This window comes from Homo sapiens, chromosome 9 (genome assembly GCF_000001405.40).
Source record: "Homo sapiens chromosome 9, GRCh38.p14 Primary Assembly".
Lineage (NCBI taxonomy): Eukaryota > Metazoa > Chordata > Mammalia > Primates > Hominidae > Homo > Homo sapiens.
In genome coordinates this window covers 137205672-137229663 of record NC_000009.12, presented here as the reverse complement: position 1 = coordinate 137229663, position 23992 = coordinate 137205672, and the positions used below count along the sequence as shown (strand labels likewise).

The following is a 23992-nucleotide window of genomic DNA, read 5'->3' as shown; positions in this document are numbered from 1 at the left end:
CCAGAACCGCACCCGACACACAGTGGGAACTCCATGAGCTTTGTTGAGTGGGTGAATTCACAGGGCTGCCATGCAGGGCAGGGAGGAAGGAGGTAGTCTTGCCACCCTCCCGGTACACCCCGGGGACGTCTGTGGGAGAGGGGAGACCTGCTCTGGGCAGCCCGCCAGGCATAGCCAGACCGGCCCTGCCCCTCCAGCCTGCAGCCCAGGCCCCCGGGACGCCTTCGCATCCTCTTGGGAGCCATCCTTTGCGCTGCGTCTAGGCCCAAGCCAGGCTTGCCGCCCACTCAGACAGCAGTGTCCTCACCAGGCACATCCGGTCGGGCTAGTCTGGGGTCTGGTAATTGTGGCCAGGACAGGTGGGAGGTCACCAGCCTCCTGCGGAGCCTCCCAGCCCCCAACCTTAGGCTGTGGCCTGGGATGTTCACGGCTGGGATGACACCACCCTGCTGGGCCACACGAAGCTGCGTATAGGATGCTACTGCCAGGTTGTTCTGAGTGGGCTGAACCCATGATGGTGTGTGGTCAGGGGTTCCAAGGCAGGCATTTCCCCTGCAGGGGTGGGAATGGCCAGAGTTCAGACCTCGGGGCTGCCTAGGGGTGGGCAGCAGAGGCTGCCACAGCCCCAGCAGCAGTATCTGGGCTGGGGGAAGTGGGGCTGGGGTCCCAGGGCAGGGCACAGCCCAGCTGGCTGCCGAGTGATGGCGCTGCCTTTGAGGGAGGTGAGGGGCAGGGGTTCTAGTCTTGCCGGCTCCCGCTCAGCCTTGACCGCCAGGAAAGCAGCCAGGTCCAGGTCTAGCATGGCCACCCCTCCGCGAGGCGTGGGCGTGCTCTGACGGCACTGCGGACAGGGGATCCAGCGCTGCTCGGGCGCCGGTGTGTCCAGCCGCCGCACACACGCCTGGCAGAAGGTGTGTCCACAGTAGAGGCGGCGGGGCAGGTGCCCGGAGAGGTCATAGGCCGAGCAGCAGATGATGCAGTCTGTCCTCTCCTCCGGGGGCCCCCCTCCTCCGAGGCCTGGGGGCCCTCCGGCTGCAGCATCCTGCCAGAGGGAAGCCAGCGGTGGACAGCCTGCCTCGAGGACCTTCCGCCTGGATGGGGTGCTGGCCCCAGGAGCCCACCCCAGAGGTCAGGCGCTGGGTCTGTGGGGGTGGTGCGTGCAGACCTGGGAGGGAGCGTGGCACCGGGCACAGGCAGAACCAGGGTCTGCACACTTCTGGTTCATGTGGGCACCAGCCGGGCAGCCTCCTGTTCCCGCAGCACCACCCTGGCCCAGCTCCAGGCCCCCACCCTCCTGGCCGACCTGAGCCCAGGCCTCTTACCTGCATGGGCTCTGCTGGGCAGCTATGCACAGCCACGGGGTGGCCGGAGAAGGGAGTGGGGGACCCAGGGCGCCCTGCGGCTCCCTCCTGGGTTGCATTACTGGCCTTGCACGGGAGTCAGGAGAGAGGCAGGTGGCCAGCTGTGGCGGGCGTGGGCTCCCGTTTCAGCCACAAAGCCTTGAAACTAGATCTAACGGCACCACCCACTTGCAAGAGATAAGGTGCCCCCCGCCCCCTGCCCACCCCCTCCTGTCCAGACCCAGCCAGCTTCTGCTAACACCTTATCCAGGCTGGCCTTGGGGTCCATTTCCCCACTCTTAGGGCTTCTCAGCACGCTCACACCCTTCGCCACACTCAAAACCTCCCTCACCTCTCCCCTCCCCCACCCTCCCCCTCCCCCTCCCCTCCCCTTCCCTCCGCTCCCTCACTCTTACCCTCTCCTTCCCTTAACCTCCCCTCCATACTGGAATGTTTTCCTGCCTTGGCCTCTGCTCACATCTCCTCCTCTAGGAAGCCTGCCAGGGTTCCCTCCTGGCTCAGAGCCTTCTGCAGACTTTGCCACTGTGCTTGTCTGTGGATCTGTGTGGCTTCTCAGCCTCACCTTGATGCCGGCTGGACGGCAGAGGGCTGCACCAGTCCACATGGACTCCAGGTGGCGCACCAGCTCCGTGTCTGGGGATCCCCGCTCCCAGCTCGGGACCCCAGACAGTGCCAGACGCCTCCTTGGTGGGCAGCTCCTGGCTGCTCTGCCCGTCTGCAGCCTCCAGGCCACCCTGGGAGGCCCAGGTTCCGGGAGGTATGATCAGTGTGTCCACACCAGACTGCAGGCAGAGCAGAGTTGAGGGACCAAGAAGGGTTGGGACAGGTGGGCAGGACCCCAGAACCACTCACAGCCCCGCTGGGTGGAAGCAAATGGCCCCTCCTCACCCCTGCCCACCTTCTTGGCAGTCTGCCCCCAGGACTGGTCAGACAAGTTCTCGTGGCTGGCCTGGGTGTGGTCACCCTCTGGTGGGGGCCAGCAACGGGGCAAGGCGGGGAGCCTGGCACGCTAAGTCCTGGCACAGGGTCAGGGCAGTGACCCATCTGTCCCACGCCTGGAGACCTCTGCATGCCACGCGCCTGCCCTGCCCTGCTGTGGAGCTGGTCACCATGCGTCAGGGAAGGGCTGGCATGGCGTGAGGACCCGTCTGTCCTGCGTGGCCAGCTCGGCTGCCACCTCCTCGCCTTGTCTCTGCCCTGCCCGGAACACCAGGGCGCCCCAAGCTGGCCTCAATGCTCACTCCCTGCCTGGCATCCTGGCTTACAGTGGTGAGGCAGTACCTGCGCAGAGCAGCCTAGCGCCTGGTGCTCAGCCCCAGAGAGGCCCCCACCCTGCTCAGCAGACCAGGAGACGGCCCAGCACCCACGGCCCCAGCCTCCTCCTGCCTCATCCTCAAGGCCTGGTCCAGGCCACCTCCTCCCGGAAGCCCAGGCCCCGAGGCAGGACAGGAGGTGTGCAGGAATTAGATATTTCCTGGGAAACTAGAAAAACATCCCAGCTGAGGTTGGGAGGTGAATCACCAGTGGGCAGGGCGTGGTCCTGGCTGTCTGGGCTCTCCTGTCCCAACCTTCCACTCCCTGAAACCTGCAGCACCTGCTGCACCCACCACCCTCTTGTCGACACGCTCCTTCTCTTGGAGGCCTTTCCTGGGGTCCCCCCAGTTCCATGCGCTGTATCCTCCTGCTGTCCGACCCATGGACTGACCCCAGCTCACAGTCTCAGTCTCGGCCCCAGGGAGCGCAGGTCAGCTCAAATCCAGACCTGGCTCAGCTAGGGCTGTGGACACGCTGCAAGCCCTCGTGCAGTCTCTGGGCAGACCCGGGACTTGCAGGCCAGGGGAAAGTGTGGACGTCATGAGGCAGTGGCATCCCTGTCCTTGCAGTGTCCACAGTGACTGTGTGTGTGTGTTCTCGGGTCCACATAAAGGGGCAGATGCCCTGTGTCCAGCTACAACCCCCTCCCAAAGGAGCCTGCAGCAAAGAAGAATTGCTGGGAGGAAGATCACCCTGCTTTATTGCCTGGGCCTTAAGGTAATCAGGGGTGTCCCTCTCCAGCCAGGACCTGGGATTCCGTTTCAGGAGCTCGGGCTGAACGGCCACCTTCCTGGTGGGTCTGAGCCCCAGTGCCTGGTGTGAAGGGGCAGACGCCCATGACAACAGCCACCCCGCATGTCCCGGCATGTCCCGGCACTGTGTGAGCCACATTTGCTGAAGTCTGGGTCCTGGCCCTGGCAGGGTGGGCTGGGCTAGGAGATGACACAGCAGCAGCAGCTGTGGCAGCGGCAGAAGGGGGGGCAGTGGCAGCAGTGGCAGCAGGGGCAGCAGCAGCAGTGGTGGGCGATGTCATCCCCGCGCCCCGCGGGCGGAGGGCCAGCGTAGGTCAGTCCGGCCTGGCGCTGACTGCTGCTGTAGGGGTTGCCAGGCTGCTGCCAGGCCTGCTGGTTCTGGATGGGGGCAGCCCCCTGGTTACCCTTGGCGCCCTTGGGCCCTGGGACCTCGGTCGGCTGCAAGAGGTGGGTTGGCTCTGGGGCACAGGGCCCCACTGGCAGGGGCTGCATCTCCGAGGATGAGGAACAGGTGGAAGCCACCTCTAACTGCTGCCCCAGGTCAGGCCGCAGGTGAGCCCGGGGGATGCTGATGTGGGCATATGGGTTCTTGACGACCATCTCTTGGGGGTCCATGGTCCAGCCTGCAGGGGTGGGCAGAGAAGACAGACATGAACTCAGTGGAGTGGGATGGCTGCCCACGAGCCTGCGGCCCAGGAAAGCCCCCACCAGGAGCAGCGTGCCTCGTCCAAGCTCAGCATCCCCAAGGCATCAGTGCCGGGGTGCCATCACCTCCAAATGTGTGTGCAAGGCTAGTGTCATGGGTGTGAGCCAAGTGTGAGCAAGCAGCAAGGGCCGGTGTCTCCCAGCTGCCACCCCTGCCAGGGATCCTCCCCCTCCCCTGGTGGCATTGGTCCTGGGATGGAGCTGGGAATGGGGTCGGGGAGGCTGAGAGATGGGAGAGAAGGGGGCTGACCCTGCAGTGCCCCTGAGTTCAGGGCAGTCCCGGCGGCCAAGGGCTTACCTGTGGTGGCAACACGGCAGTCTGTCCTCTCGGTCTTCTGAGCTCTAGGTCCCAGTGCCTGAGTTGAGCGACTGGCAGCCGCCTTTTCCCTCCTTGGGAGGGGCGGGGCCATGGGGCGGGGCTCAGAGATGGGGTTCCCAAGATCCCAAGAGGCCCCAGCAACTGGAGCACGACAGCTGGCCCAGCCCTCGTCCTCAGGTGGGTGGCAGCCCAGGCCTGGGCTCTGAGGGGCACTGCCAAACCAGTGACTCAGCCCCTCACATCCGGGGCATGGCCTGGGCCCTAAAGGGCATCTGCAGCTTGCCTGAGAGGAGGGCAGGAGGTGAGCCTGAGGTCACGGCTCTGGAAAGGAAGTGGGGTGAGGCCCTCAGATTCCCGGGCCTGCAGTCCCCAGCCATTGCTCACACACCTCAAAGCCCCGGCGAGGCAGGGCTTCTAAGCCTCTGAGCCTCTTCTTAGCAGAGACCAAGATGCTTGAGAGCCATTGGCTCTTGGAGGCTTTCTGCTTCTTTTCTGAGATGGAGTCTTGCTCTGTTGCCCAGGCTGGAGTGCAGCTGCGCGATCTCGGCTCACTGCAACCTCTGCCTCCCGGGTTCAAGCGATTCTCCTGCTTCAGCCTCCCGAGTAGCTGGGATTACAGGCAACCACCACCACGCCTGGCTAATTTTTTGTATTTTTAGTAGAAACAGGGTTTCACCATGTTGGCCAGACTGGTCTCCAACTCCTGACCTCAGGTGATCCGCCTGCCTTGGCCTCCCAAAATGCTGGGATTACAGGCGTGAGCCACCGCGCCCGGCCGATTTTTGAGACAGGGTCTCACTCTGCCATCCAGGCTGGGGTGCAGTGGCATGATCTGGCTCACTGCGGCCTCAACCTCCTGGGCTCTAGTGATCCTCCCACCTCAGCCTCTTGAGTAGCTGGAAGGACTACAGGTGCACCACCACGCCGGCTAATTCTTTATAGAGATGTAGGTCTCACTATGTTGCCTAGGCTCATCTCAAACTCCTGGACTGAAGTGATCCGCCTGCCTCCACCTCCCAAAGTGCTGGATTCCAGGCGTGAGCCAGCGTGCCCAGTGGCTTTTCTGCTTTTTTCACTGATAAAAAATGTTTGATTTGCACGTTTTGTCACAGGTCTTATCTTACAATCAGTGACACGGGCTTTAGACACTACTGACATTTTTAGCTCATTTCTCAAACTGCAGTTACCCTCTGGCTGGCGGGCGTGGGGGCCACACGCGCCCCCCCAGCGTCCCCACCTTGGGCCCCCCGCCTCCAGCCGAACCCAGGCTCCATCTGCACCGGCGCAGGCAGGGGTGCAGCGGGCACTGGCGAGTGCCGCGGGGACGACCCACGGCAGTGGGGCCCTTGGGGCCCAGGGGAGCACCAGGAAGGGCGGGTTCCAGTCAGACGTGGCCTGTGTAGGGCCAGTCAGACCGGTCGGGACATGAGTTCAGGCAACCCGGCCCCGATTTGGGGAGAACTGGGTGCTCCTGGGGACCCAAAACTTGAGAGGCCGGCGACGGAAGTCCACTGCGCAGGCGCCGGAAGTCCCGCCCACCTCCCTGCCTGCCACTTGAGTGGCGCCTATGGCGCATGCGCAAACAAGGCAGGAACCGGCCGTGGAAATATTATTGCCCAGAAGCCCACGCGCTCCGGGGTTTCCCGAAAGACCCGGTTCGGATGTGACCAATACTCGGCTTGGGGTTCTCCAGCTCTGAATGGCGGGTCTGAAAAGGCCTGGCCTGGGGGGCGGGGCCTCGTGGCGGGGGCGGGATCTCATCCCCTACGGGGTGGGGTCTCGCTGAGGGGGCGGGGCCTGCGGCCTGGTGCTTCCTCGGGCGCACGCCGGGTCGGTGAGCAGAGTCTGCGGCGGAGCTGGGCTCCCGGCCCTCCCCAGGCCCAGGCTGCCTCAGTTGCCCCACCATCTTGCCAGGGCCCCGTAAGGACCCCTCCAGCAGCGCCCCTGTCACCCGCACACCTCTCCCTATTGCTCTTCTGAGTGACACTCGCCCGAGGCCCCACAGAGGGGCCAAGCCAGACCCTATGCGCAGGGCTGCTCCTCCAGCCTGTTTTGCCCACGCGAGCTCCCGCACCAGCGGCACCGTCCCCTCTGGGCTCAGCACTCTGCAGGCCCTGGGGCTCTGCCTAGAGCAGGTGCGGTCTGGCCAGTCCAGCGGAGAGAGGAGCTGAAGGAGGCCAGGATGTCCAGGGCCAGGTGCGGGGCCAGAGCTGGTCACAGCGTGGCAGCGGAGGCCCTCGAAGCCCTGGTCCCCTGCCTCACGGTGACCAGCAAGCCCGAGGGCTCCACAGGCAGAAGGCGGACCCAGGAGGGCAGGGAAGCCCCGGGTGAGGAAGCGGAGAGGCCCGGGCCTGCGCGCTGGAGTGCCAGGGGCCACCCTGTCCGGGCAGGTGCGGTCCTCAGGGCCGCCTCCACCCCGCACTGGGCTGCCAGCCTGTCCTTCGCGCACTCCCACCGGACCCGTCCGTCCACCGGCCTCGGCCTTCTGATCCGCTCCGCCCGCCCCGCTCTTGCCCCTTAGAGTCACAGCGATCTATCTGAGCTACGGCACCGGGCACAGGCGGAGCTGGAGGACTCGGGGCCTTCCCATGGGGCGGGGGGCCGGGGACGGGGGAAGGCACCGGTGGGCCCTGGAACCAGCTCCCCTGGGATCCTCCGCGCAGGTCCCCTCCCTCTCACTCCAGAGTCCTGAGGCCTCCTACTGTGAGGGAGGAGAACAGCCGGATTCTCCTCCTGAATCTGGGGGGGCGGGGGCTTGACCAGGACCCAGGATCAGCCTGGAGAGAACTGGGGGCGACGCGGGGGTCCTGCCCCCCACGCAGTCCGCGGGCGAGAGCGACGCCGGGAGCGGACCGAGGGGCGGCCGGGAGGCTGGCCCCGCCCCGCGGACCCCGCGCGGGTCCCCAGACGGGGGGTGGCGCTGCGGGCGCGGGCGGGCGCCGCGCGCACTGCGGTCCCCGCGCCTCCGCCGCAGAGCGCGCCACGCTCCGCACGCACCTGCCGCCGTCGCCGCCGTGCCGAAACCCGCGCCCCGCGCCCCACGCCCGCGCCCGCGCCCCTCGGTGCCGCCCGGGCCCCGCCATCGCCTGAGGTCGCTGCGGCCGCCGCCGGAGCCGCCGGAGCCCCCCGAGCTGCCGGGCCGAGGCGCGGGCGCCGCGTCCGGGCCTGCCTTTGAGACAACCTCTGCGGCGGCGGCGCGCGGCCGGGACGCCAGGCTGGGGCAGGTGAGCGCAGGGGGCGGGGGCCGGGGGCGGACTCAGCGCCCCTCCCCACGCGACGGGGGTCGGCCCTCGGGAAGGTGCGTCTGGCCTTGGAGGCGGGGACCGGGGAGGGGGTTGGGTTCTGAGGCCCGCGGAGGTCGGGATCCCACGGCTGAGGTCAGGGTCAGAGGTCGGGCGCCCGGTCCTTTGTGCAGGGCGAGGGCTAGGGTGGGGGTGGCCGGGGCACTGCCCTCATGCCGTCTCTCACCTGCAGCTCAGGCCTGGCCCAGGCCTCGCCTCTGCTCCTGCCGCGGAGCCTGCCGCCCCGGTCCTCCTGCAGCCAGCGCTTCGGCTAGCTGCCTTCCCTGGGCGCCCTGTCCTGGAGCCATGGGGCCCACCCAGCCCCTGCCTGCCCCGATGTCCCGGCCCGCGGCCTGCTGACCTCGGCTGCAGGGGGAGCCCCCCCCGCGCCCCCTCGCCAGCCTCAGCAGCCAGAGACCCTGGGTGAGACCCTGGGCCAGACCCCCAGCCCAGGGCAGCCTCCCACCCCTCCCTGCCCCCGCCTGCCTCCCCCTCCCCCACCCCTTCCTCCTCCTCCCAGGACTGGACCAGAGAAGCCACTGTGGCCACTGGGGGGGGCCCTGCACCCCCAACTCTCGCCGGCTGTCCCTAGGAGTCCACGGGCCGTCCGGGGCCCCCCCCAGGCCTGGCGGGACCAGGATGCTGCCCTGTCACCTGCCCCCCAGCCCCACACAACGCCCCCACCCACCCGAACATCCAGTCTGACTGGAGACAGCCGGATGCCCTCTGACCCCGGGCCCGAGGCGGGCAGTGGCTGGCCGGGCCTCCTCATGTCCTGCCTGAAGGGTCCCCATGTCATCCTCAAGATGGAGGCCATGAAGATTGTCCACCCTGAAAAGTTCCCTGAGCTACCGGCTGCCCCCTGCTTCCCGCCTGCTCCCCGGCCCACCCCAACTCTGGCACCCAAGCGTGCCTGGCCCTCAGACACAGAGATCATTGTCAACCAGGCCTGTGGGGGGGACATGCCTGCCTTGGAAGGGGCACCCCATACCCCGCCACTGCCACGGCGGCCCCGTAAGGGAAGCTCGGAGCTGGGCTTTCCCCGCGTGGCCCCAGAGGATGAGGTCATTGTGAATCAGTACGTGATTCGGCCTGGCCCCTCGGCCTCGGCGGCTTCTTCGGCGGCGGCAGGCGAGCCCCTGGAGTGCCCCACCTGTGGGCACTCCTACAATGTCACCCAGCGGAGGCCCCGCGTGCTGTCCTGCCTGCACTCTGTGTGTGAGCAGTGCCTGCAGATTCTCTACGAGTCCTGCCCCAAGTACAAGTTCATCTCCTGCCCCACCTGCCGCCGTGAGACTGTGCTCTTCACCGACTACGGCCTGGCCGCGCTGGCTGTCAACACGTCCATCCTGAGCCGCCTGCCGCCTGAGGCGCTGACGGCCCCATCCGGGGGTCAGTGGGGGGCTGAGCCCGAGGGCAGCTGCTACCAGACCTTCCGGCAGTACTGTGGGGCCGCGTGCACCTGCCACGTGCGGAACCCACTGTCCGCCTGCTCCATCATGTAGTAGCGCCTGCCTGCCCGCCACTGCCCGCTGAGCCTCGCTCGCTGCTTCTTCAGGGACCCGGCCCTGCCCTGCCGCCCGCTGACCCTTCCTTCCCCACCATGGCTTCCGGCCCCACCCCGAGTGGCATTGTCGCTGCAGCCAACTTTGCCATTAAAACTCTTTGCCAAAGTTTGCACCTGTTCCTGGACTGAAGCTTGCTCCTGTGGGCTGTGCTCAGGCCTGGGCCTAGGGTGGGCACCCAGGGCTGCAACCCAGAGAGGGCCCAGCTTGGAGCTGCCAGAGAGAGGCCCAGCGCTGCTCGGGTTGGGCCTGCCCTGCGCACTGGGGGCCAGGCTGGGCTGTGCATGCAGCTCAGGAGGGCCGGGTGGGCTGTGTCGGTGCAAACCCCCACACGTACAGAGTGGGCTGCTTGTGTGCGCCTGGCAGGACTACCTGGTGGGTGTGCAGAGACACCCCAGCTGGGCAGAGAGGACATTTTCAATGGTGTGGGGGTGCCTGTGTGGGGGACAACTCAGTTGATTTCCCTCCTGGTGCCCATCTGGACCTGAGCACCCACCTGGGTCTTCCAGGGTTGTGTGGGAGTAGCCTTTGGGCATGTGCAGGAGTTAGGGACAAAGACTGGCTGAAATGGTGGTAGGGGAATAAGGACCCAGCGCCTCCTGTCTGGCACCTGGACCACTTGGGTGGGAGGAAGAGCCCGCCCCAGGCTGGGTGCGGTGTCTCACGCCTGTAATCCCAGCACTTTGGGAGGCCAAGGCGGATGGATCACCTGAGGTCAGGAGTTCAAAACCAGGCTGGCCAACGTGGTGAAACCTCTTCTCTACTAAAAATACAAAAAAAATTATCCAGGTGTGGTGGTGCATGTCTGTAATCCCAGCTATTCAGGAGGGTGAGGCAAAAGAATTGCTTGAACTCGGGAGGTGGAGGTTGCAGTGAGCAGAGATCGTGCCACTGCACTCTAGCCTGAGTGACTAAGTGACGCTCTGTCTCAAAAAAAAAAAAAAAAAAAAAAAGCCCGCCCAGATGGTGAAGATGGGGTAACAAAGACAAGTAGTAACAATGGCATCCCCAGGAGCTGGTTTATTGAAAGCTGCTTCACGTTCCAGGATCAGTCCTCCATCTCTCGCTGGGCCACCTGATGTCTCCATCCCAGGTGTGGTGACATGAGGGTGTGCAGGGGCAGAGCTTATGTTCCAAGGCCTGGGTGGGCCCTTGTCCCCTGCAACACAGGCCAGCGCCAACCCCCACCTGGTCTGGGCCTGATCAAGTGGGGAGAGGAGCCTTTGCAGGCTGAATTTTCGCAGCATGGACCCCTCCCCCGGCTGGCCTGACCTTCAGGGACACACACTGGCCCTTATCTGAACACAGGGTGGGCGGAGTCCCTGCCCTCTCCAAGGAACTGACTCACTGCTGTATCTCTGTTTGCTTTCATGCCTGCTGTGCTCAGCTGGCCCTCGGAGGGGAAGTGTGGCCGGCGTCAGCCCGTGGCCAGTACGGTGCCCGTCTGCCGCAGGGTGAATGGGGTCCTGCTCACAGACTTTCCTGCTGGGCTGGCCTCCTCCAGGAGCTGTCCTTGGGCGCTGGTGTCCTTGGGTTCAGCTAGTGTCTGGGCAGCAGTGCAGCCATGGACTCTGGCAGGGTCAGGCCTCTGGGTAGCCCTGGTTGTGGGTTCAGCAATGGGAGGTCTTGATTGAAGGCCACTGCCCTGGACCCAACCTTGGGTTTTTCCAGCCTGGTCATCAGGCCTCACAGCACCCAGGCATGGGGACGTGGGCCAGTCTGGGCCCCCTGGCCTGTTGGCGGCGGGGCTGTCCTGGGCTCTGCTCAGCGGCCAGAGCGGTCCAGGAGCACGAAGAGCAGTCCCAGCAGCAGGAGCGGCGTGAAGACCAGCAGCAGCCCCAGAAGCTCAAGGGCCAGCAGGCTCAGCAGCGCCAGGCGGCGGGCACAGGGTCCCCGCTCCCGCAGGGTCCAGAGCCGGGCACCCAGGCAGGGTGGACAGGGCAGGAAGGGCAGGCAGCCCCGGCCGCCCACGGGCCCTGCCAGGAAGCGCAGCTGGTAGCGGTGCTCCAGGGAGCCCCAGGGCCCAGGGTTGCGGTGATAGGATGCAGGGGCCTCTCGGCGGGGCTGGCGTGAGGGCCCGTCGGCCTGTAGCAGCTCCTCCTGTAGCCGGCAGATCTCCCATTCCAGCACGGGCGTCTTCTGGCGGCACAGCGGGCAGCGCACCCGGCCCAGGTCGGCACTGGAGGCCGAGCCCAGCAGCCTGTGCAGGCAGCCCACACACAGGCCGTGGCTACAGTTCAGCAGGGCCAGGCGGCGCTCTCTGGGCCCGTAGGGCTCTGTGCAGATCGGGCACTCCTCCTCTTCCCCCTGCCCTGCTGCCTGCTCTCTCCCCTCCTCCTTCCAGGTTGGAAGGGCCCAGGCACCCTCCATGGCTTTGGCCCCCAGCAGGGGCTCACTGGCTGTAGTCTCAGCACCTTGGGGGTGCCCAAGGTCATCCCCTTTGCTTGCTGGTGCTTGGCACAGAGGGTCCAGGCACTCAGGGCCCAGAGAGGACCCAGGTGGACTGACAGGCCCAGAGCTGGAGTCGGCCAGGTGGAGGGTGGGGGCCCCAGGGCACAGTTCAGGGGTGGTGGCCCTGGGGCAGGAGTCAGGATAGGAGGACAGGGACCCCAGGGCGGCGACAGGGGCGGCCCTCAGGGAAGGCAGGGTCTGGGCTCCACCAGAGCTCTGGCACTGACCTCCCGGCTGGCTCTCCTCACTGGAAGTGGACTTGACTGGGGCCCCAGCAAGGCCTGCCTGCTCTGGGTGGATCCTGGGCCCACGCGGTGCTGTCCCCAGCCAGATCTGGCTGGAGCCCAGCCTCAGCCATGTTTAGTCCTGTGCCAGCGACCCGCCGACGACAGATCAAGACTCCAAGACAGCGAGGCGGGTGTGAACAGCCACCGAACTCCTCCAACAGGACTTTCCTTCCCAGTGCCTAAAGCCCCTCCCGGGGGTGGGGCTGCACAACCACGCCCCCTCCTGCCGCTCCTCTTTCCGGCAGTCTCGGCTCCCTAGCGGCACGGACGGCTTGGTTCCGCCTTCCCAGCACCTGCCCAGAACGCAGTCCTGGCGATCAGATCTTAGCCGACCCACTATGCCCTTAAGAACGAGGCAGTCAGGGCGCACATCCCATTAGAGGCAGACATAAGAGCTGCAGAGGCCACTCGGGCACAGGCAGCCCAACAAGGGTGCACCGTGGCGCCCACCCATCCAGCACCCAGCACCCAGGGCACCGGGAGGAGCTAGAGGACGCCCACCCATCCAGCACCCAGCACCCAGGGCACCGGGAGGAGCTAGAGGACGCCCATCCATCCAGCACCCAGCACCCAGGGCACCGGGAGGAGCTAGAGGAAGGAAGGAAGCCTGCGCTAGAAGTAACCACCCAGAGGCCACCATTTACTGCAAGGGTTTTTCTGGGACCAGGAGAGGAAGAGGCTGCTCTGGCCTGGGACACCCCCACTGCTCTCAAGGAGCTGGCATCTCAGTGGCCTCTGAGCCCAGCCTGAGCCCTGTGGGAGTGCGGGGGCAGTGACTGGAATGTGCTGCTGGGCAGGCTGCAGCAGCCGAGGTGGCCCCAGGGCAGAGGAGTGCAGCGCAGCCTCATGGGTGCCCTATGCCACCCCTGGTGCTCACTGGGCTGCTGATGCCGTCCTGGGTCACTGCACCGGTGAGGTGGAGCGGCCCAGGCCACCACCTTGACTGGGAAGGGGGTGGGGGGACGAGGACACAGCTCACTGTCAGGGTGGGGGAGCGCAGGGCTGGCTGGGCAGAGGCTGCAGTGGGGTCAGGCTCAAAGGGTGGGATCCAGGGTCAACAGGAGTGCGGCTGTGCTCGGGAGCTGGCTGTTCCCAGAGGACCAGCTGGCTGGTCCGAGAGGATGACGGCTGCTGGCCAGGAGCTCCCTCGTGGATGCCTTCCTGGGCTCCCAGGAGGATGGCTGTCAGAGGGGGCACGGGCAGCCGCGGGCCTCAGGCCCACGTCTCTGTCTGGAAGCGCCGTGTCTGCTGGAGCCTGGCTAGATACGCGGCTGCGTCCGGGCTGCAGAGTCCACCCTCCTCCTGGAAGATGGACATCAGGGCTTCCGAGACGTCCGCTGGCATGGACTTGGCGTTGCTAGAGGGGCAGGTCGCAGAAGGCGCAATGAGGCCTGGCACTCAGGGGCTGGGCCCACTCCTGCTGCACGCAGGCCAGCTCACCCTGCCAGGTAGAAGTATGCACCCTGGCGGTCCAGCAGTTCCCACACAAGCGACCCCAGCTCCCGGAGCCGGTGCTGCACATATACTTTCTGCTCCTGTAGGGCAGAGAACAGGGCTGGGGGCTGAGCCGGAGCTCCCTCCCCTCCTTTCCCAGCCCCTGAGCATACACACCTGTTCCCGGGAGAAGGCAGGGATGAGGGTCAGACAGTCCCGCTTCTCCAGCTCCTGCCACTCAGCCTCCCAGTAGAAGTCTTGGTCCCGCCAGCGGCAGCCAAAAAACAAGAAGTTTCCTAGGGAAATACAGGGTGCTCTTGGCCACAGGTCCTTGAGGTTCAGCTGGGGAGCCCTGGCAACAACCCTGCCCGGAGACCCTGGGTGCTCACCAGTCTGGCCCTGGGCCACACGCTCCTGGATGGCTGCTCGGAAGGGGGCTACCCCAGTGCCAGGCCCCACCATGATCACAGGTGTGTCTGGTGTCTCTGGGAAGGCCAGACTCCCAGGCCGCACCCAGAGGGGCACCCGGACAGGTCCTATTGCAGGAAGGAGGTGGCATGAAGAGGATCAAAGACCTGTGCTGAGTCTGCTGGGGCCCTAGCCCAGCATTTGCATGAGCATGGGAGAGAAGGGGATATGGGCCCACGGCCCCCACCCTGGGAGCAGGGGTCACCTTGCCCAGGGTCCAGGGATGCCAGCCAGGAGGAGCAGAGGCCCCGGCGGGGCTCCTTGAGGCGAGTCTGGAACTGCACTACAGCCACGAGGATCTGCAGCCGTGAGGGGTGAGTCTGGGGAGGACGGCGGGGTGGGGGTGGTGGAACAAGGCTGCCCTCACCTGTGCCTGGGCCGTGGGCCCCACCTACCTCCCGCAGAGGCAGTCCGACTGGGGGAACGTCACCTGGTCAGAGGGCAGCCCCTGCTTACAAAACCCCACAGCCCCGGTCCCAGCTTTCCCAGGGCCGGTCCTGGGCTCCAACCACCAGGCCCCTCACCAGCAGCGAGGAGGCGATGGAGAAGGCCCTCGGCCGGATAACGGGGATGAGGTCCAACAGGTAGTCGGGAGGGATGGCGGCAGCTGTGTGCGGGAAGTCACAGAGCACCTAGGCAAAGAGAGTCTCAGGGTGGCTGCAGCGTGGCTGTAGCTCAGGGGCTGGGCCTGCCGCCCTCCCATCTCACCTCCAGGATGGTCCTGCGGGGCCGGTTGCAGTATTCAAAGAGCTCCTCCTGGCCTTGGGCAGAACTGAACTCCAGCAGCTTCTCCCGCTCCAGCTCATGGAGGGATAGACAGGCCAGGAGTTCGAAGAAGGAGCGGCGAGGCACGCTGGCGATGTCCAGGTAGTGGGACACGAGGTGCCGCATGGAGCAGGGCTGGGGCAGCCTCGTGGGGGAGGAGACATCTGCAGGGTGAGTGGGAGGCCTCCGTGGGCTGCGGCGGAGCCCTTGGGGTGGGGGCCCAGGGCACGGGAGAGGGCAGAGAGTCAGGGTGGCCGAGGCTGGGCTCACCTGGCTCCCGCGGCTGCAGCATGAAGAGCTGGTCAGGGTCCAGGCCCAGCACCTGGCAGAACCGCTGGACATGGGCAGCCGAGTTGGAGGGCTGAATCAGCACCACATCACCAGCAGCAAAGCTGTGTGGAAGAAGCCACCAGGGCTGTGGGGACGCCGCAGGGAGGATGTCGGGGCCCCGGATAGAAGTCATCCCCTGCAGCCCGGCCCAGCCTCCTCCGAACCCCAGACCCACGGCCCACCTCACCTTGCCCTCCTCGGTCCCCAGCAGTCCCCACCTGATGCCAGAGCCCAAGATGTCAAACTCAATCAGCCGAACGTCCTGGAAGTGGGAGGGGCCGGTGACTCTCTGGTTGGAGATCATGGGTGCTAGGAAGGGCTTCGACTCTGACGGGGGCTCCTGAGAGCCGGGGTGAGCTACCCGCTGCCCCTCAGAGCCCGTGCTGGGTGCCTCTTGGAGGAACAGCAGGGTGAACTTGGAGGGCAGGCTGTGGGAGGGCACGCTGGTCAGACCAGGACCCACTCCCCAGGGGCCGCCCACCCACACGGGAGGGACCCAGGGCGAGGTCCCCAGGCCAGGTTGGGTCTGCTGCGCCTGTGGGTGACCCGGGGCCCACACTCACGGGACTCCGGGAGGGATCTCAGTGAGGCCCGGAGGCGGCGGGTACAGCCCCAGAACCCTGTCCCACAAGTCTCGCAGCCAGGGGTCCACAGCAGCGTCGGGCCTGGGAGGGAGCACGTGCGCTGGCCTGAGCGGACCCTGCGTGTGGCCAGACCAGACTGTGGAGGCGGGTACCACGCCCGCAGACTCACCCCAGCTCATGCTGGTCATCGCCCAGGCACACGGGCAGGAGGGCGCTGCCCCCAAGCTGCAGTAGCCGTCGGTGCAGCTTCTTGGCCACGAAGTTGAACCTGTGGAGACAGTGAGGCTGGTCCTGGGCTGGAGCCCGGGCGGAGAGTGGTGCCCAGGCAGAGTGGAACCCGGGAGAGTGGAGCCCGGGCGAAGAGTGGAGCCTGGGGAGGGCCTCCCTCGGGTGGAAAACACACTCCACGCTGGCCGCACCCTAGGAGGGGGCAGGGCCTCCACACGCCAGGGGCTGCCGAGACCAGGGCAGCTGCCAGGGTGCCAAGCAGCAGGTCCTCTGCTCGCAGAGAATGAGCCTGTGTGGGTGGGAGCAGGCGGCCTCGTCCCACTGATGGGCCCTCATCCCTGGGCAGGGACTTGAGGCAGCTGAGGCCTCCAGGCCCCCAGCCAAGATGTGGGTCACTCCTCAGCTGAGAAACTCTGTGCTGGGGAGAGAGCCAGGCATCTTCCCGGGGGTCAGTTTCTCTTCTCACTCTGGTTCCGAGGCATGACTGGCTCTGGGTCACGCTCCTCCCTGGGAACGCTGTCGGCAGCGGCCTCCCTCCCTCTCTTGAACGAACACTGTGTCCCACACAGAACAACGTCACGCAGGAAACAACGTCATGCACGGACCTACGTCACGCACGGAACAAAACCTCCCGGCAGAACCGGGGGGAGCTGTCTCCGATCTTCCCGTTCTTTTTCATCTGAAATGACTGACACCTGGCTATGCAAACGGCTTTTGATGCTCGGTGCTCAGCGGACCTGGGCCCTACGTGGACAGTCGGGGTTTTCACCGTTGTGGGGTCTAAAGATGCCATTTGCACACTGAACATGCCACTCCTTGCTTAGGGTGCAGAGGAGCACTGTGAAAATGCCCAGGAGAAAAGGCAGAGGTGGCCTCTGGGGTGGCAGGAGCATACGGGGTCCTCCTCCAGGCTCAAAGTCGTCAACACTTCACAGCACGCCTTTTTGTAAAAGTGGGGACCGGCGCCAGGTAGGCCTGTGTGACGTCAGCGTGGCTGGAGCCCAGCCCTTTGCCACCCTGCCTGCTCCCCTCTGTGCCCTCCCCGCAGCGTGAAGCCTGGGGTGCCCACCAGGGAGCGTTGTGGAGAAGCCAGTACCACTGCGAGGGCCCTGAGGCGCGCAGGGGCCGACCCTGGAAGCTGGTCTCGGTCCTCTGCCAGCACACCTGTTGCTCGACCCCCAGAACTGTTCCGTCCGCCCACTGTCCCATCCCCTACTCACTTGGCGTATGAGGAGTCCCCGAGGCCCAGGACGGCAAAGTCCATCTGACAGAGGGCAGTGGAGGGCAGGTTCTTCCGGAATATAAACCTCCAGAAGTTCTACAGCCGGAGGAAACTCTGAGTCAGAGTCCTCGACCTCTAGGCTAGCCCCACAGCAGGGGGTGAGGGGAGGGTCTCAGGGGAACAGGCAGGTGGGTAGGATGGGGGCAGAATACAACTGGACCTATCTGACCAAAAGGCAGGGCCCAGGTCCAGCCTGCAGGATGATGGGCACCGGGAGGAGGCAGGGCTGGTCCAGCGTCTAGGGAGACCAGGTCCCACCCTGCCCACAGGAGCCAGACCCTGCTGTGCTCTACAGGCCTGCGTGGAGCTTCCTTCCTGGGACATCACCCTCCTCTGCCCCAGGCTCTGAGCTGCCAGGAGCAGCTCTGCACTTGGTCTCCAAACTGTCCACCGCCCCAGGGGTCCCTCACCTCCACCTGTCATTTCCCAGCCAGAGCGTGGGCCTCCACTCCCTGAGTTGGTCTGTCCCAGAGGCTCCTATACTCAGACCTCTGAGGTCCATCCCAAGGGCTCTCACACTCGGCCCTCTGAGGTTCCAGTGTCGCTGAGACACATCCCCCTCCTTCCGTGGCTGCAGGACCTCGAGCCAACAGGGTCCAGATCCTCTGGTTCCACACCGTGCCTTCCACGGTGTCCTCCCAGCTTGATCAGAGGCCCCCCCAAGGAACCTACTGCCCCCTCCCTACCTGGATCCCAGGTGGCCTGTGTGCGTGGTCTTCGCCGCCCACCCACCTCCCCTTCCCGTGGCCAAGCATGGAGGCTAGCAGACAGGGAGGCCCTGGCCTTGTCAGCCCACAGCTCTGACCCTGGCCCTGGACCACCCCTGGCCTCCCGGGACCTCACTGCCTCATCAGCTGCCTCTCTGGGCCACGCTATGCGAGCAAATGTACCCAGCCTCTTGCCCCCGAGACCCTCCCTAGCGCCCTGCTGTTGAGACACCCTTGCTTCCTGAATCCCAAAAGACTCTCTTCCCTGCTCCGTTTGGTGAACTTCCTCCTTCCCGAGAAAAGGGTTCTGGAGAGAACATTCTTGTGACTTTTCCCTCACTCGACTGGCATGCGGCTGGGTCTGTCCTGGGCTTGGCACCACCACTGAAAAGCCAGGGCCCCACTTGCTGCCCTTGGGGTGTGTAGGGCACTCTGTCCCCAGAGGCTAAACCCACAGTGACATGCCCCGGGGGTAGCCCTTTCATTCTCAGCAGGGCCCTTCCTGGGCATGGGGCTCTCTGGCCGCAGACCCCGCTCTAGACATCATTACTTTCCTGGATAACTTCCTCTCCACCATTGTCTTCTCATTCTGAGGCCACTGGAATTATCTTCGAATTTTGGTATCTGCTTCCTTCCATTTTCTATCTTGCTTTTTGTCATACTTTCTAGAAGGATTTCTCATCTTTTTTTGAGATGGAGTCTCACTCTGTAGCCCAGGCTGGAGTGCAATGGTGCGACCTCAGCTCACCGCAACCTCCGCCTCCCAGGTTCAAGTGATTCTCCTGCCTCAGCCTCCCAAGTAGCTGGGATTACAGGTGCGTGCCACCATGCCCGGCTAATTTTTGTATTTTTAGTAGAGACAGGGTTTCACCATGTTGGCCAAGCTGGTCTCGAACTCCTAACCTCAAGTGACCCACCCACCTCGGCCTCCCAAAGTGTTGGTATTACAGGCGTGAGCCGTCGTGCCCGGCCTTTTTTGTTGTTGAGACAGGGTCTCATTCTGTCATCCAAGCTGGAATGCAGTCTTGAAATCACAGCTCACTGCAGCCTTGACCTTCTGGGCTCAAGCGATCCTCCAACCTCAGCCTCCCAAGTAGTGGGGATTACAGGTGTGTGTCACCACGCCCAGCTAATTTATTATTATTTTGTTTGTAGAGACTGGGTTTCGTCATGTTGCCCAGGCTGGTCTCAAACTCCTGGGCTCAAGCGATCCTCCCACACCTTGGCTTCTCAAAGCGCTGGGATTCCAGGCTTGAGCCACTGTGCCCAGCGTCTTCTAATCTTTTAAAGTTTTTTCATGTCCATTTAAAGAACTATTTCTGGCCAGGTGTGGTGGCTCACACCTGCAAACCTAGCACTTTGGGAGGATGAGGCAGGCAGACTGCTTGAGCCCAGAAGCTTGAGACCCCATCTCTACAAAAAATACAAAAAAAAAAAAAAATTAGTTGCATGTGGTGGTGCGCACCTGCAGTCCCTGCTACCCAGGAGGCTGAGGTGGGAGGATCACCTGAGTCTGGAAGGTCAGGGGGCAGTGAGCCGTTGATGGCTGCCACTGCACTCCAGCCTGGGCAACAGAGCAAGAGCTCTGTCTCCAGAAAGAAAAAGAAAAAGAGAAAGAGAAAAAACTGTTTCCTGTTCCTGAGTCTCCAGCTTTGCCCCGTGGGGGTAACATCCTTGGCTGCTTCAGCCTGTGCCCGTCTCTGCCTGTTATGCGGGTCTTTCCTCGGGTGGGGTGTGGTTCTTTCTGGTGCATGTTTTCACCCAGGCTGGAGTGCAGTGGTGTGATCTCGGCTCACTGCAACCTCCACTTCCTGGGTTCAAGTGATTCTCCTGCCTCAGCCTCCTGAGTAGCTGAGATTACAGGCATGCACCAATACACCCAGCTAATTTTTTGTATTTTTAGTAGAGATGGGGTTTCGTCATGTTGGCCAGGCTGGTCTCAAACTCCTGACCTCAGGTGATCCACCCGCCTCGGCCTCCCAAAGTGTTGGGATTACAGGCTTGGGCCAGCGCGCCCAGCGCCCCATGGGTTTCTTCACCAGACAGGCAGGGACCTGGTCACTTGGCCTTTCACTGTGGTTCCTCTGTTTTCTCCTGTCTGCTGCTGGGGGCACCTGCCTCACCTACAGCATCCTCAGCAAGGAGCCAGGGTCTTCCTGTTTCGCTGTGGATGGAGAGCCAGGGTCCTCTGGTTTAGCTATGGATAGCCACTAAGACTCGCCCCTGCCTCTGAGGCCATGGGCCCTGGGTCCACAGCCTCTTCAAGGAGCTCCCAGTTCCCGCTGTGGGCATTAGCTGCCCCCTCCAACTCCTGGTCTTCTCTGTGGGTGCCCACACTTGGGACTCTTCGTTTCCTCGTTGACCTGAATCCCGGCATTAGCACCAGCTTCCTGCCACTGGCTGACTGAATGCCCAGCCCAGCCTCAGTCCCTCTCCTCTCCCATGCTCTGGGGCTTCCCTATCCCACCATTCCCCTCCCGTGCCTGTGCTCCACTCTGAAACCCCTTCTCTTCCATCCCACTCTATCTGAGACCCCTCGACCTATGTTCAGCTCTCCCCCAAGCCGCTGCACATCCCCTGCCATACCTACTCAGTCTTCAGCCTCTTTCTCCTGTCTCTCCCCTGCCAGCAATTAAACATGCCAAGTTTTGGCCGGGTGTGGTGGCTCACGCCTGTAATCCCACCACTTTGGGAGGCTGAGGCAGGTGGATCACGAGGTCAGGAGATTGAGATCATCCTGGCTAACACGGTGAAACCCGATCTCTACTAAAAAAATACAAAAAATTAGCTGGGCGTGGTGGCGGCGCCTGTAGTCCCATCTACTTGGGAGGCTGAGGCGGGAGAATGGCGCGAACCCGGGAGGCAGTGCTTGCAGTGAGCTGGGATCAACGCCACTGTACTCCAGCCTGGGCGACAGAGCGAGACTCCGTCTCAAAACAAACCAACAACAACAACAACAAACAACAACAAAAAAAACATGTCAAGTTTCTCCCGTCTTTTTTTTTTTGAGACAGGGTCTTGCTCTGTCGCCCAGGCTGGAGTGTAGTGGTGTGATCACAGCTCACTGCAGCTTTAACCTCCCAAGTTCAAGAGCTCCTCCCGCCTCAGCCTCTGGAGTAACTGTGATCACAGGCATGAGCCACTGCACCAGTTCACTTTGAATTTTCTGTCTCATGATGCTGCCCAGTCTGGTCTTGAACTCCTGGGCTCAAGCGATCCTCCCACCTCGGCCTCCCAAATTGCTGGGATTACAGGCATGAGCCACTGTGCCCGGCAAACGTCTCTCATAAAAAACTCCTTCTTTTTAACTCTTTAGCCTTTTCACAGCCAGATGTGGTTTTTTGTTTGTTTGTTTTGTTTTTTGTCTTTTTTTTGTTTTTGAGACGGAGTCTCGCTCTGTCGCCCAGGCTGGAGTGCAGTGGCGCGATCTCGGCTCACTGCAAGTTCCGCCTCCCGGGTTCACGCCATTCTCCTGCCTCAGCCTCCCGAGTAGCTGGGACTACAGGTGCCCGCCACCACATCCGGCTAGTTTTTTGTATTTTTAGTAGAGACGAGGTTTCACACCGTGTTAGCCAGGATGGTCTCGATCTCCTGACCTCGTGATCTGCCTGCCTCGGCCTCCCAAAGTGCTAGGATTACAGGTGTGAGCCACAGTGCCCGGCTCTTTTTCTTTTTTTTTTTTTTTTTGACAGAGTCTAGCTCTGTCACCAGTCTGGAGTGCAGTGGCGCAATCTCAGCTCACTGCAACTTCCGACTCCCTGGTCTAAGTGATTCTCCTGCCTCAGCCTCCCGAGTAGCTGGGATTACAGGCACGCACCACTGCGCCGTGCCCAGCTAATTGTTGTAATTTTAGTAGAGACGGGTTTCACCATGTTGGCCAGGCTGGTCTCGAACTCCTGACCTCGTGATTCGCCCGCCTCGGCCTCCCAAAGTGCTGAGATTACAGGCGTGAGCCACCGCAGCCGGCCCGCACTCAAGACATTCTTAAAAGATGCTCTCCACTCACTCTCTCAGTTGCTGATCTCCTGTAATCTGGCTTCTCTCCCCATGAGCCACTGAAGCTGCTCTTCCTGGTATCACCAACAATCCCTTTGCCAAGAAATCCCATGGATCCCTCTCAGGCTTTATCTGATTTGACTTCTGTGCAGCTTTACATGCCAGAGCCCTTCCTGGAACACTCACTCCCCCAGTCCTCTCCTTGGGGTGCTGCACCCTCTCTTCTAGCTGCTTGGTCACTCTCCTGCCCTCCTGGGCTCTAACGTTCTGGGCAGCCTGTCCTGTGGGGAGAGAGGAGCTTCCTCTTCTCACACTTCTGTATTGTGGCTACCTCAACACCTATCTCCGCCCCAGGATCTTCCTTGGAGCGCTAGTCCTACTGCACTTCTCCACTTCAATGTCTCCAGGTTCCCTTCCTGCACAGCCCCCTACTCCCACCGTGTTCTCTGATTTCTGTGGATGGAACCACCATCCATCTTGGTTCCAGAGCCCACATCCCTGTCTCGATTCTGCTTGACCTATTGGGTCCGTTCCATGTCCCGGGGACTCTCTCTTCCTGACACCACTGCAATGTGTCCACTTCTATCTTCTGCCACCACTTCAGCTCAGATCGGTAGCATCTGCTGCCTGTCCTGTGCATCTCATGGCATTATTCCTGCTGTCCTGCAGACCAGTGCGGTTTTGCTAGCTTAGGAACATGACTGTGTCACCCCTACAGTTCCGACAACCCTTCATTTCAAGCCCATCTGCCTTGCTGTGGTTACTCAGGCTCTTTGGACTGGGCCTGGCTTCCTGCCTCTCTTCTCCTCCCCTCTTGCCCCAGTGTACTCCTCAGCTTGGCCACCCTGAGCTGCTTTCCACTTTTCACACAAACCAAATCATCTTTTTCCTCTGCGCTGACTGCTCCTTCTTCCTCGGTGCCTGACTAGCCCTCACGCATCCTTCCGTGACTCAGCTTACACTCTTTTCTTCCAGAAACCTCTGCCTGGGCCCCAAGGTTGGGTGAGATAAGGCTCGATGCCCCTTATCAGTGCTCCTGTGACATATGCTACTTTCCCCAGCAGCAGGTGTTTGCTGGCACTGTCATTGCCCGTTAGCTGCTTCTGCTACAGTGTGAACTCTGCCAGGATGGAAATATGGCTGCTGGGTTCACAGCTGGATCCCCAGCACCAGACTGTGCCAAGAATAGAATATGTGCTTAAAAGATGGTCAGAGAATTCAGCAACGTTCCCTGAGGGTCATACAGTCTAGAAATACACACAAGACCCAGACTAGATGCACATATAGATAGCCCTGGAAAAATAAGAAAGGTTAAAACGGATAATAAGGCTATTTGGTGGCTACGACGAGTTTATTAGAGAGGGCAACCGGAGCCCCCAGCCCCACTCACGGACGTTCTCTCAAATCCACCTCTGAAGGTGCATGAGATAAAGGAGAGCTATTTACTGCACCTAGACGCCAGGCAATGAAAACGGGGTGAGGGTCGAGGGCAGGGATCTGAGGAGCCACATCAGGCCAGCCTTACCTTCATGTTGTCAGGGGGGTCTCCTTGGCCTGTAGTTGCACAAACAAATATCACCAGGGGCTCGTTAATCAGATTCACCTCAACAAAAAGACACACACACGTAAGACCTCCGGCTGTAAGGACCGGGCGTCCTTCCCAAAACTTGACCCCCTTCTCCTTTACTCAGGCTGACAGGGCAGAGGGATTTATGTGAGCAGCCAGACCGTCTTCTCTTTCAGGTTCCAACCTCCTCCAGGTGCTAAACTGAACTCCCCTTCCCAAACCTCCTTCCCTAAATCCGCCATAAGGGAAAGACCCGCTCTCAGAGAAAATGCGACGCCTTTTGGGTCGATGACCCCGCGAGGCGGGCACGCCAGGCCTGCTCGTCCCCCACGCCGAGGCCCTAGCGAGCCCTCACCACCGGGTAGGAGTCCAGGGCCTGCACCCGGCAGCCAAGCCGCCGGCGCCGGGCCTCGCGACCCAGTCTCTCCGACACATCCTGAGCCGTGCCTGTCTGGCTGCCGAAGAGCACCAGAAGCTGCGGGCTCGGCATCGGGGTGCGCCCGGTGGTCTGGTCTGAGACTAAAAACTAGAAGGCAGTTCCCGCCGGCCGGGTTGCAGGGACCGCTCCGCCTTCCGCCTTCCGCCGTCGACCGGAA

At 62.9% G+C, this 23992-nt stretch overlaps 5 protein-coding genes across 10 annotated transcripts, besides 13 other annotated features; 1 reads left to right on the top strand and 4 right to left on the bottom strand.

The window, feature by feature from the left end:
• On the bottom strand, positions 24 to 2162 carry RNF224 (ring finger protein 224). The gene is made up of 3 exons (NM_001190228.2): positions 1803 to 2162; positions 1323 to 1512; positions 24 to 1042 (listed from the first exon to the last, which is right to left on the bottom strand). The coding sequence occupies exons 2-3, from the start codon at positions 1326 to 1328 to the stop codon at positions 578 to 580; spliced, it is 471 nt and encodes a 156-aa protein (NP_001177157.1). The 5' UTR covers positions 1329 to 1512; positions 1803 to 2162; the 3' UTR covers positions 24 to 577.
• Positions 1234 to 1859: an enhancer, noted in NCBI's record as "H3K27ac-H3K4me1 hESC enhancer chr9:140122257-140122882 (GRCh37/hg19 assembly coordinates)". NCBI's record gives its function as "activates a minimal SCP1, AML or CMV promoter by ChIP-STARR-seq in primed H9 embryonic stem cells {active_cell/tissue: H9 hESC(primed)}" and the evidence as "EXISTENCE:reporter gene assay evidence [ECO:0000049][PMID:30033119]".
• Positions 1234 to 2493: a biological region, named in NCBI's record as "hESC enhancers GRCh37_chr9:140121623-140122123 and GRCh37_chr9:140122257-140122882".
• Positions 1773 to 2067: a silencer, noted in NCBI's record as "tiled region #5016; K562 Repressive DNase matched - State 8:EnhW". NCBI's record gives its function as "represses a minimal TATA promoter and a strong SV40 promoter by Sharpr-MPRA in K562 cells {active_cell/tissue: K562}" and the evidence as "EXISTENCE:reporter gene assay evidence [ECO:0000049][PMID:27701403]".
• Positions 1884 to 1953: a silencer, noted in NCBI's record as "silent region_20595". NCBI's record gives its function as "represses an Ori minimal core promoter by ATAC-STARR-seq in GM12878 lymphoblastoid cells {active_cell/tissue: GM12878}" and the evidence as "EXISTENCE:reporter gene assay evidence [ECO:0000049][PMID:35858748]".
• Positions 1993 to 2493: an enhancer, noted in NCBI's record as "H3K4me1 hESC enhancer chr9:140121623-140122123 (GRCh37/hg19 assembly coordinates)". NCBI's record gives its function as "activates a minimal SCP1, AML or CMV promoter by ChIP-STARR-seq in primed H9 embryonic stem cells {active_cell/tissue: H9 hESC(primed)}" and the evidence as "EXISTENCE:reporter gene assay evidence [ECO:0000049][PMID:30033119]".
• Positions 2054 to 2203: an enhancer, noted in NCBI's record as "active region_29348". NCBI's record gives its function as "activates an Ori minimal core promoter by ATAC-STARR-seq in GM12878 lymphoblastoid cells {active_cell/tissue: GM12878}" and the evidence as "EXISTENCE:reporter gene assay evidence [ECO:0000049][PMID:35858748]".
• On the bottom strand, positions 3349 to 4490 carry CYSRT1 (cysteine rich tail 1). The gene is made up of 2 exons (NM_199001.5): positions 4431 to 4490; positions 3349 to 4050 (listed from the first exon to the last, which is right to left on the bottom strand). The coding sequence occupies exon 2, from the start codon at positions 4040 to 4042 to the stop codon at positions 3608 to 3610; it is 435 nt and encodes a 144-aa protein (NP_945352.4). The 5' UTR covers positions 4043 to 4050; positions 4431 to 4490; the 3' UTR covers positions 3349 to 3607.
• Positions 6172 to 6521: a silencer, noted in NCBI's record as "silent region_20594". NCBI's record gives its function as "represses an Ori minimal core promoter by ATAC-STARR-seq in GM12878 lymphoblastoid cells {active_cell/tissue: GM12878}" and the evidence as "EXISTENCE:reporter gene assay evidence [ECO:0000049][PMID:35858748]".
• Positions 6256 to 9405, top strand: RNF208 (ring finger protein 208). Of its 3 annotated transcripts, none has more exons than NM_001388298.1 (2): positions 6256 to 7675; positions 7931 to 9405. In NM_001388298.1, exon 2 carries the CDS (start codon positions 8452 to 8454, stop codon positions 9235 to 9237), a length of 786 nt encoding a protein of 261 aa, NP_001375227.1. In that variant the 5' UTR covers positions 6256 to 7675; positions 7931 to 8451; the 3' UTR covers positions 9238 to 9405. The 3 variants fall into 3 exon arrangements, with proteins under 3 accessions (NP_001375227.1, NP_001375226.1, NP_112587.2); NM_001388297.1 differs by having other exon boundaries at positions 6256 to 7749; positions 7926 to 9405; NM_031297.7 differs by having other exon boundaries at positions 7424 to 7675; positions 7926 to 9405.
• Positions 6832 to 6881: a silencer, noted in NCBI's record as "silent region_20593". NCBI's record gives its function as "represses an Ori minimal core promoter by ATAC-STARR-seq in GM12878 lymphoblastoid cells {active_cell/tissue: GM12878}" and the evidence as "EXISTENCE:reporter gene assay evidence [ECO:0000049][PMID:35858748]".
• Positions 7822 to 7871: a silencer, noted in NCBI's record as "silent region_20592". NCBI's record gives its function as "represses an Ori minimal core promoter by ATAC-STARR-seq in GM12878 lymphoblastoid cells {active_cell/tissue: GM12878}" and the evidence as "EXISTENCE:reporter gene assay evidence [ECO:0000049][PMID:35858748]".
• Positions 10240 to 10979: an enhancer, noted in NCBI's record as "H3K27ac-H3K4me1 hESC enhancer chr9:140113137-140113876 (GRCh37/hg19 assembly coordinates)". NCBI's record gives its function as "activates a minimal SCP1, AML or CMV promoter by ChIP-STARR-seq in naive H9 embryonic stem cells {active_cell/tissue: H9 hESC(naive)}" and the evidence as "EXISTENCE:reporter gene assay evidence [ECO:0000049][PMID:30033119]".
• On the bottom strand, positions 10303 to 12170 carry LOC122513141 (ring finger protein-like). Its single transcript, NM_001395982.1, has one exon. The coding sequence runs from the start codon at positions 11665 to 11667 to the stop codon at positions 11062 to 11064; it is 606 nt and encodes a 201-aa protein (NP_001382911.1). The 5' UTR covers positions 11668 to 12170; the 3' UTR covers positions 10303 to 11061.
• On the bottom strand, positions 10303 to 23964 carry NDOR1 (NADPH dependent diflavin oxidoreductase 1). 4 transcript variants are annotated; one of them, NM_001144026.3, is made up of 14 exons: positions 23752 to 23964; positions 23355 to 23432; positions 17065 to 17162; positions 15786 to 15884; positions 15596 to 15697; positions 15251 to 15460; positions 14973 to 15094; positions 14646 to 14866; positions 14462 to 14569; positions 14143 to 14257; positions 13859 to 14005; positions 13647 to 13765; positions 13476 to 13597; positions 10303 to 13392 (listed from the first exon to the last, which is right to left on the bottom strand). In NM_001144026.3, exons 1-14 carry the CDS (start codon positions 23884 to 23886, stop codon positions 13248 to 13250), a joined length of 1821 nt encoding a protein of 606 aa, NP_001137498.1. In that variant the 5' UTR covers positions 23887 to 23964; the 3' UTR covers positions 10303 to 13247. The 4 variants fall into 4 exon arrangements, with proteins under 4 accessions (NP_001137498.1, NP_055249.1, NP_001137500.1 ...); NM_014434.4 differs by having other exon boundaries at positions 13476 to 13570; NM_001144028.3 differs by having other exon boundaries at positions 13476 to 13570; positions 14143 to 14236.
• Positions 10980 to 11719: an enhancer, noted in NCBI's record as "H3K27ac-H3K4me1 hESC enhancer chr9:140112397-140113136 (GRCh37/hg19 assembly coordinates)". NCBI's record gives its function as "activates a minimal SCP1, AML or CMV promoter by ChIP-STARR-seq in naive H9 embryonic stem cells {active_cell/tissue: H9 hESC(naive)}" and the evidence as "EXISTENCE:reporter gene assay evidence [ECO:0000049][PMID:30033119]".
• Positions 11720 to 12459: an enhancer, noted in NCBI's record as "H3K27ac-H3K4me1 hESC enhancer chr9:140111657-140112396 (GRCh37/hg19 assembly coordinates)". NCBI's record gives its function as "activates a minimal SCP1, AML or CMV promoter by ChIP-STARR-seq in naive H9 embryonic stem cells {active_cell/tissue: H9 hESC(naive)}" and the evidence as "EXISTENCE:reporter gene assay evidence [ECO:0000049][PMID:30033119]".
• Positions 12123 to 12300: a silencer, noted in NCBI's record as "fragment chr9:140111816-140111993 (GRCh37/hg19 assembly coordinates)". NCBI's record gives its function as "represses an EF-1alpha promoter that drives an FKBP-Casp9 reporter gene in an ReSE screen in K562 erythroleukemia cells {active_cell/tissue: K562}" and the evidence as "EXISTENCE:reporter gene assay evidence [ECO:0000049][PMID:32094911]".

What these genes read in the sequence shown, in the direction of transcription:
- CYSRT1 (NM_199001.5), bottom strand. Translation starts at nt 4,042, where the DNA reads ATGGACCCCCAAGAGATGGTCGTCAAGAACCCATATGCCCACATCAGC.
- LOC122513141 (NM_001395982.1), bottom strand. Translation starts at nt 11,667, where the DNA reads ATGGAGGGTGCCTGGGCCCTTCCAACCTGGAAGGAGGAGGGGAGAGAG.
- RNF208 (NM_001388298.1), top strand. Translation starts at nt 8,452, where the DNA reads ATGCCCTCTGACCCCGGGCCCGAGGCGGGCAGTGGCTGGCCGGGCCTC.
- NDOR1 (NM_001144026.3), bottom strand. Translation starts at nt 23,886, where the DNA reads ATGCCGAGCCCGCAGCTTCTGGTGCTCTTCGGCAGCCAGACAGGCACG. An exon ending in CCCTGGACTCCTACCCGGTG is followed by an intron (nt 23,433 to 23,751) that starts GTGAGGGCTCGC and finishes CTTTTTGTTGAG; the next exon opens with GTGAATCTGATTAACGAGCC. An exon ending in GATGACCAGCATGAGCTGGG is followed by an intron (nt 15,698 to 15,785) that starts GTGAGTCTGCGG and finishes GCTCCCTCCCAG; the next exon opens with GCCCGACGCTGCTGTGGACC.